The sequence below is a fragment of the Homo sapiens genome, chromosome 1 (genome assembly GCF_000001405.40).
Source record: "Homo sapiens chromosome 1, GRCh38.p14 Primary Assembly".
In the NCBI taxonomy this organism is placed as follows: Eukaryota; Metazoa; Chordata; class Mammalia; order Primates; family Hominidae; genus Homo; species Homo sapiens.
The window spans coordinates 207,910,354-207,918,890 of NC_000001.11; the positions used below are offsets into that span (position 1 = coordinate 207,910,354).

General features: G+C 42.6%; 1 protein-coding gene and 1 long non-coding RNA gene across 5 annotated transcripts in view, besides 1 other annotated feature; one reads left to right on the forward strand and one right to left on the reverse strand.

Annotated features, from left to right (window-relative positions):
- CD34 (CD34 molecule) overlaps positions 1-772 on the reverse strand; it is a 30,154-nt gene extending 29,382 nt beyond the window's left edge. For both annotated transcript variants that reach the window (NM_001025109.2, NM_001773.3), the window contains exon 1: positions 649-772. In NM_001025109.2, the coding sequence (NP_001020280.1) occupies positions 649-727 (79 nt within the window). In that variant the 5' untranslated portion in view covers positions 728-772. The remainder of the gene's footprint in view (positions 1-648) is intronic.
- Positions 15-6,762, forward strand: LOC107985253 (uncharacterized). 3 transcript variants are annotated; one of them, XR_001738424.2, is made up of 4 exons: positions 15-204; positions 302-485; positions 3,630-3,800; positions 5,235-6,762. It is a non-coding gene; the product is annotated as an uncharacterized LOC107985253 (long non-coding RNA). The 3 variants fall into 3 exon arrangements; XR_001738425.2 differs by having other exon boundaries at positions 5,186-5,817; XR_001738423.2 differs by having other exon boundaries at positions 3,630-5,817.
- Positions 7,652-8,283: an enhancer, noted in NCBI's record as "NANOG hESC enhancer chr1:208091350-208091981 (GRCh37/hg19 assembly coordinates)". NCBI's record gives its function as "activates a minimal SCP1, AML or CMV promoter by ChIP-STARR-seq in naive H9 embryonic stem cells {active_cell/tissue: H9 hESC(naive)}" and the evidence as "EXISTENCE:reporter gene assay evidence [ECO:0000049][PMID:30033119]".

Sequence of the window (8,537 nt, forward strand, 5' to 3'; positions counted from 1 at the left end):
TGGGGTTGCTGAAGTGGGAATTCAAACTCAGCTTCCCAATCTTAAATGCAAGGTTTTTGTTTGGTTGGTTGTTTGGTTTTGTTTTTCCTTTTCACGGACTGTTCATTCCGAACACCCCTGGCCTGGGACCTGGAGCCTCATCCCTGATTCGCTTCCCTCGAATTCCTTAATGTCCACTTCTGGCTCTCCCAGTCCCTGTGCAAGGTGGGCACACCGGCCCCTTCCCAGCAATCCGCTCCGTGTCTATACTTTCTGAATCAACCAAGAGCCACAAAACTTTTCCTGCTTCTCTCCTCCCCAGTCTCCCGGTTCTGGCTGCAACTTCGCACTCCGCGCCTCTGGCAACCAGAAGAGACCCTGGCATCTCCAAAGCGCTTTATCTCAGTCCATTGGAACCAGTCGTGCTGACCGATTCACACCTCGGCTAACGCACACTCGCGGGGGTGATGGCCTTCCCTTCCCCTCCCACCCCCGTCAGCTCCCAGGTGAGGCGCTGGCCCCGGGGGGAAGCAGCTGTGGGCGGCAGTGCGTGGGTTGGGCAGGGGTCCCTTCCCTCCGTGAGACTCTGCTCTGCTGTTCAGCCTCCCAGAAAGCCTCCACCCTCCCCGCGGCGAAGCCAAGCGGCCGCGGCGCGCGGGCGGTACTCACGCAGCAAACTCAGCAAGCAAAGCGCGGTCCAGCCCCGCGGCATCCTGGGCCCTGCGCGCGCGCCCCTGCGGACCAGCATCCTTCCCGCGCGGCTCCTAGAGAGACGCACCGAGTGGAAGACACTACTCGGCTTGGCCAGGACGCGCTCTTCCCGCCCCCTCCGCCCGGGAGAGGGGTGGGGGATTCTTGCTTTTTTCCTCTCTTCTCCCCTCCCTTTTTAGTCTTGGCAAGGCAGCGCCTCTCCTTGGCTGCTACTAACTTGAGCTCCCCTGGTTGGTCCCAAAGGCGGAGGGCGTTAGGAGGGAGGCTGGGTTGCCGCCGTCGAGGCCAAAAAAGGTGGAGGTTTGTTCGGGCTCCAGATGCCTCGTTCAGCTTTCTGGAGAGGCCCCATCCCACTTCTTCAAGCTCCACTTCCACTTAACTTTTAACCCCTTTGTGGCAGCCTTGCCGGTGGCCAGGGCAGGGGCAAGTTTCCTCCGATTTTTTCCCCACTTTTCTTTCCTTGTGATTTTCCTTTATTTTTAAGTTGTAAGCCAGTAACAATCTTGCAAAAGGAATCTACTGTAAGGACCTCAGTTTAGAAGTGTGAGCATTTCGTTAATCAGGTAAAACTTAACCACAATGTGGCACATTTAGTGATAGCCTCACCAGATCCTGTGCTGTGTGTGAGTGAAGCGTCAGGAGTGAGCAGGTATACGTGACTATAAGTATTCATTTTGGCTGTCCAAACCATTCTTGGAGACTTTTTCTTTCTTTTCTTTTCTTTTTTTTTTCCTGCAAGACCTTTTTGTGTTATGTTAACTTTTTGCTAACTTGTGTTAACTTTTCCTGTGACCTTCCATATTTCCCCATTTAGTTCCCCATCACCATCATCCTAAAGAAAAAGGACTTCCCTGGATGCCTTCTCACCAGTTATCCCCTCTCCAGCCCTGGGTCTAAGCCACTAGGGATTTCACCTTGCTCTCCCATCAGAAAAAGGACTTTCTGTGACTCCATCCTCCACCACTTGATAGATCCTTGAGCTTCCTGTTCCTCACCAGTTCCTCTGGGTGTTGGTTGTACTGAATAGAAGAAACTCTGAGCCGGGTAGGCAGCCTAGTCTTGGGGACGTAGAGACGGGAGAAAGGAGAAGCCAGCCTGGGCAGATGATGGCACCAGGGGAGGATCAGATAAGGTATAACCTGGGAGAGGCTGCTCTGATATCCAGAGCAGAATCATGAAATTATAAATACTCAGTTCAGGCTCTTCCATGATGTCTGTACCACATAGCCTAAAGGGAAAAAAGAGAAGCCAGACCAGCACTCTGTGGTCCTTTCTGATTTCTCCGCAGACACTCTAGCATTATAAAAGTAGCTTTACCTTTATAGTCCATCTCAAACCTACTATGCGTTGGGGTTGCACAGGAGAAGGATCCAGGTCTAAAAACAAACCCAAAATCTCCTTATTCTGGTCTTGTTGCCTAGCATTCCTTTAAACAGGGAACAAAGTCTTTCATCACACAATAAGAGCAAAGGCCTGATATGCTAATTTGATTGAATACAACGGAATGGTATGAATCTGTTTCAAAGTACAAATGATGATTCAGAACTGATCACATAGTGATGGCAAGGGCCTGGGGACAGAAGGAGTGGCAAACATGCATTTTAAAATCAGTCATTGGTCCTTGGGACTCCCAATTAACAGGGAAAAGGAGTTAGTTCCAACACTGCCAGGCCCCCCACTCCCCTCAACTTCCTCAGCTCCAGGGACCGCTCGGTCTGCTTCAGGCATCCAGTGTGCAGTTGAGAACAAATGTGGGGTTGTAATCCCTGCTAGATATGAAAGCTAATTTGGTCCACTTTAACTTCCATTTCCAGATTTTTTTTTTCTGGTTACTTTAAATACCATTTGTCTCCCATAGCTGGACCACGGGAAACAGGGGAAATAACTTGTCTTTCTTTAGTACCTGAACTTCTTAACTAGCTTTGGGAGCAAAGAGAGAGAGAATGATTCTGTGGAGCAGAGTTTTCTCAAAGCATGGTCTACACAGAATCAAGGGTGAGGGCCAGAATCTGTACTTTGAGTAAGTATTCTCCATGACTCATGCACACTGAGGTTCAAGAAGCCCTGGTATAGAAAGAACACTTGCTGGGTACAAGGAGCAAGGGCGAAGTGGATGTCAGGCTTCAGGGAGGAAAAATAGAAGTAGGGGATATGGGAGGCTGGCAAATCCCTTCCTCTGAGAGACCAGAGCTGTTTCTTCTCTGGCTTGCAAAGGTTATGGATAGCCCCAGAACTACAAAGCTAGACAGTGATTGGCCACTCTTCATATTTTCCAGGGTCACTGAGACTCATCACCCCAAGCACACACACCCTTGCCCAAGCCACCCCCAAACACACGTTCTGGCCACTGGACACAAGGGTACCCAGGGACCCCAGCCTTACATTTCCTCACAGGCCAGGTAGAGTTGAGCTATGTAGTCTCTTCAAAGTTCTAGCCTTTCTGGGCTGCTCCTCAATTCTCTGCTCTCCTGCTTCATAAGCTGTTGCTAGAAGATGTTAGCTACACCGCACAAAATGGAGGATACAACAGAAATACACTGAGTCAGAGGCTGTCTCAGGCCCTTTACAGACCCTTGGAGGTCACAACCACTTTTACTATTAAACATCCCTTACCTCACCCCTCCCCAAAATACACACGCATCATGTCAATCAACCTAAAAGAGGACCTCATCCTATGTCAAATATGTCTGATGTTAAAAAAGTAAGGAAAATGGTTGTTATAATTCTGAATTTTAAAATATATTCATTTTGTTCTTATAATTCAAACTTTATTATATTTACATGAAACTATGAAAGAGTTGAATTGCAGTTTACAAGTTGAGTTGACATTTTTGTAGGCATTTAATGAAAAATTTGTGAATTTTGATTTTCCAATTTTATATTTTGGAACCAAGACTTTTTTCCCACATTGCAAACTTTTTTTTTTTTTTTTTTTTCAGTTTGGCAGGGATCCTTAGCGGTAGAAGTGTTCAGATGCTGGACTGATGCAGTGACAACCTGCAAGTCCCTTTTTTCCTCTTTCCACCTTCTAGTCTCCCTCCAGTGCCTCCTCTTGGCAGAACCTAACAAGAAATCAGCTGACAAGGGAGTCTGGGAACCAGTGTCCTGTGGTAAGTCACCATGATGCAATGTTTGCCTCCATGATAGGCAGGCTATTCCAGAGGCCACAGATCAGGAAGACTCAGACCAAATTATGATGATCAAATCACAAGGGTTATGGAATCTATTTAAAGCATAGAGCCAGAACCAAGGGGACAGATTTACACAAGGTTGATACACTTGGGAATGCAAGCAGGGCAAAAGTCCTGCACAGTCTCACAGCCTCAGTCATGTGTTTCGCTCTGCAGTGGTATAGTTATGAGGACCAGAACTGAGATTGAGTAAGGGGATCAATATGAGGAAGATGCTTAGAACCAAGGTATACTCATTCTATTGAGAGATGTTTAAGGGTAGGTAGGCTTGGCCACAGGTCTTTGTCAGTGTTCTGGGAAGCCATACTTTTTGCCAGTATTTCTTGGGTAGAGCTTATGGGGGGCCAGAAGGTGCCACCAGTAGGTAGTCAATTTAGGGATGACATGGACACCAGCCAGAAGGTGGCATAATCTATACCTCATGGCTTATGATTTGTTTTTTCCTATCCTTTTCTGCCTGTAAGTAGCACTCTTGTTTGTTCCATCCTTTTGTAGTCTATTCCATTTATTCTGTTTTACATGTCTTGCAGGTTACTAACTTACTATAGATTGAGAATCCCAAGTCTGAAATTTGAAATGCTCCAAATTCTGAAACTTTTCGAGTACTGACATGGCACTCAAAGGAAATGCTCATTGAGGCATTTTGGATTTCAGATTTCTGGAATGGGGTGCTCAACATATAAGTGTAATGCAAGTATTCCAAAATCCAAAAAGTATCCCGGATAAGGGATACTCCATCCTGCATTTTTAGCACATCTTCTGAATTCTGCCTATGTCTCACAAATGACTTGCTTACTTTGTATCTATAGTTAATACATCTGATGAGTTTCACCCACCTGCTTTTCTTGTCCTCTGTATGAAACTGAATATTCTCATGTAACAGAGCAAACACACATTGTAGCCAGTATTATAGAGAAAAGTACAGAGGAGTAGGTTGGGGCTGAGGGAGACAAAATAAATAACTAGCAGAAAACCAGTTTTATGTATTTTTCATACAGCTAACCATTTTCCTAGTTGCATTTACTGAGTAGTCTCTTCTTTCCCTTCTGACCTGACATGCCATTTCTGTCGTGTTCCACATTTCATACGTATGTGGGTCTGGCTCTAGGCTCTCTAGCATTGGTCAGTATGGACACCCCAAGTGCCTTCGCCATTGCCTTATTTACTGTAGCATTAAATAAGTTCAGACATCTGTAGGGCAAGTTTTCCTCTCCCAAATTGTCTTCAGAAATGCCCTGACTATTCTTGGCTCTTTGTTCTTCCAAATAATAATAATAATATACAATTTTATAAATGCTTATCAGATTTCCTTCCAAAACAGCCTTTTGGATTTTGATCAAAATTCCTCCATAGATCAACCTGGGGAGAACGGAATCTTTCCTTCAGAGAACTTGGTATATATCTCCATTGTTTGAGTCTTCATTAAAGTTTATAATTTTCCCTGTAATGGTTTTAATTCATTCATTATTGTTAAGTGATAAATTCATTTAATTCATTGTTAGATTTATTCCTAGGTAATTTATGTCCTCTAAGACTATGGCAAATATTATCTTCTTTTTAATTATTTTTGTTGCTGGTGTATGAAATTGCAATTTATTGTTTTATATTAATCTTTTATTGAGCTACCTTATTAACTTATCTTATTAGATTGAAGTATTTCTAGATTATTTTGGGTTTTATATGTAAATGATCATATCACAAGCAAATAGTGATAATTTTATGTTTCCTTCCCAATCCTTCTGCAACTGATTTGTTTTACTTAAGTTAATATACTGGCAAGAACATCTAAGGATAGAAAGGAGTGGTGATCATGCACATCCTCACCTCATTCCAGATTTTGAAGTGTAAGCTTCTAATGTTTCCACATTTGCTTAATTTTTTAAATGTGCTTTTTATTTATTTAGTTATCATTTTTAAATTATTATTTTATCTTAGAGACAGGGGCTTGCTATATTGTCCAGGCTGGTCTCGAACTCCTGGCCTCATGTGATCCTCCCACCTTGGCTTCTTAAAGTGCTGGTATTATAGGAATGAGTTGCTGCAACTGGCCTATATGTGCTTTTTATCATTTTAAGGTTATTCTCTTCTATTCCTAATTGACTAAAAGATTTTTTTCTTTAATAATGAACTAATGATGATTTTTTTCAAATGCCTTATCTATACCTATTAAAATTACATATGGTTTTTCTCTTTTAATATGGTAGTATGGTGAATTACATTTGTAGATTTTCTAACATTAAATCAACTTTGCCTTCTTGAGTTAAACCAAACTTTGTCAGTGTATTATCTTTTTTATACACTGTAGAATTTAATTTACTAATACAATCTTCTATTTATGATTTTTGCTTCTATAGTCATAAATGAAACAGCCCTGTAATTTTTCCTTTTCTTCTTGTCATAGTCTGGTTTTGGTATTGGGGTTACAGAGTCCATATAAAATGAGTTGGAGAGTATTTCCCTTTTTTTCTATTCTCAAGAAAAGTTTTTTATGAGACTGGGATGATCACTTCCTTTTAAGATTTGTGGGAACTTGCCTGTAAAATCATTTGGGCCTAGTATTTAATGTGGGATTATTTAACAATACTGCTTGCATTTTTGTAATTGTTGAATTCTCAGATTTAAAAAAATTTCTTCTTGAGTACATTTTGTTATTTTCCTAGGAAACTGAGTATTTATCAAACCTTTCAAATTGTTGTTGATAAAATTCCTATTTGCTTGTTAATCTGTACTTTATCTAGAGTGTGTTCCCTTTTTAATTTGTGCTATTACTTCTTTGTGAATAATTTGTCTTAATTTATTACAGATACTTAAATTATAAAAGTTTTCAAATTACTTACATGTATATATACATATGTTAAATATACTTATATGTTACTTCCAATGGGTTGGAGGTGATTCTTATGTTGTGAAAACGCCCTTCTCTTGCGCTTGAGCGGGTGGAGCTGTTTCTTAGAAGGGAGTGAGCTTGGACTGATCAACCAGTGCAAGGCGCCCAAGATAATCTGTTGGTGTGTTTCATAGACCCCTTGGGATGTTAGCAAAAGCAAAAATGTAATGATGTTCAGAACAGAGCAGTAAAATGCAATGCCTTGTGTCCCCCTCCCCTCCAAGCATAATTCTAGGGCTGCCATCCCAGTTTTGCCTCCTAAGGGACAACCTTGTGAGTGAGTGAGAAAGATGTGGTGTTTCAGCTAGACTACTACAGAGTCCACAGCTTTTCTGTCATTGCTACAGCTATTAAGACCTAGTGACCTGAAGCCAAGAGCGGTGGTTCATGCCTATAATCCCAGCACGTTGGGAGGCCGAGGTGGGTGGATTACCCGAGGTCAGGAGTTCAAAACCAGCCTGGCCAACATGGCAAAACCTCGTCTCTACTAAAAATTACAAAAATTAGCTGGGCGTGGTGGTACGCGCCTGTATTCCCAGCTACTTGGGAGGCTGAGGCAGGAGAATCGCTGGAACCCAGGAGGCGGAGGTTGCAGTGAGCCAAGGTCGCGCCTCTACACTCCAGCCTGGCTGACAAAGTGAGACTCTGTCTCAAAAAAAAAAAAAAAAAAAAAAGACCTGGTGATCTGACATATAAGTGGGGAAGAAAAGCATGTCACAGTATGACGCTATTTTGTTGTGGCAGAGGTAAAAAGTCAGTGTCAGTGGTAATACATGTCTCATATACACACATAATGATTTGTCTCAGTGTTGGAAGTGTGGGTAATTTTCAGTTTCGTCCTCACTCCAGTATGCAACACATACATTTGTTTTTCACAATAAACATGTGCTACTTTTACAAACAAAAATACATAAAGCTATATTTCTGTGAAAAGGAGAAGATGTGGCAATTATGCATTACCGTAGTTATTTTCTTCGGATTTGTCAGGTCCTGAGCTGTCCACAGGAGCTGTCAGGTGACAGGGGAAACAGCTTGGCCAAAGGGCGAATATGTCAGCGATAAGGGAGACTTAAGTAAAGATTCCTTACACCCTGGGAAGCAGCTCCCTGAGAACAGCTCAGAAATCCATTGTTTGTGGATTTGTGTCTGTAATTCTGGTATTGTCTCTGCTCATTTCCCTCTGTAGTAGCTAAGCTTTCAGTCAATCTTCCTGATGGTGTAGGCCTAACTCAACATTGCTCATGAATACTACCGACAGCATTTATACCTCCATTAAAGCCAGATATCAAAGGGGGTTCAGGTTACCCTGGGGGTGATGTTGTCATTGATTCAAGAAAACTCCATAATGAAGGATTTATTCAGGAAAACAAAAATAGAACTACTTTGCGAAAGGTCCTTCCCCACTTGGAAATTCTCTTTCTGGTGCTACCTAATGGTAGGTATAGGAAAGCAATCTTTTTTCACTAAAGTGTCCAGGAATCTGTCTCAAGGGGCTGGATCTTCCCGAACCCAATATTGCATCAGTTCACGGCCCAACAGGCTGTGAAAGCCAGGGACTTAACAGCCTTTGTCTCTGTAAACCCAAATAGAGAGCTTTAATGGCATACATCTTACGGAAGCCAAAGCAAAGAGGATGGCTATTTTTAACTTGAGGCAGGAAAATGTGGCTGGAAAGGAAACATCTGTCCCAAACTATTCTCTTGAGCTTTATACAGAGGTCCCATCTATCATGAAGCCATCAAAAATAAAATAAGGTGTTGGTCCAGGCC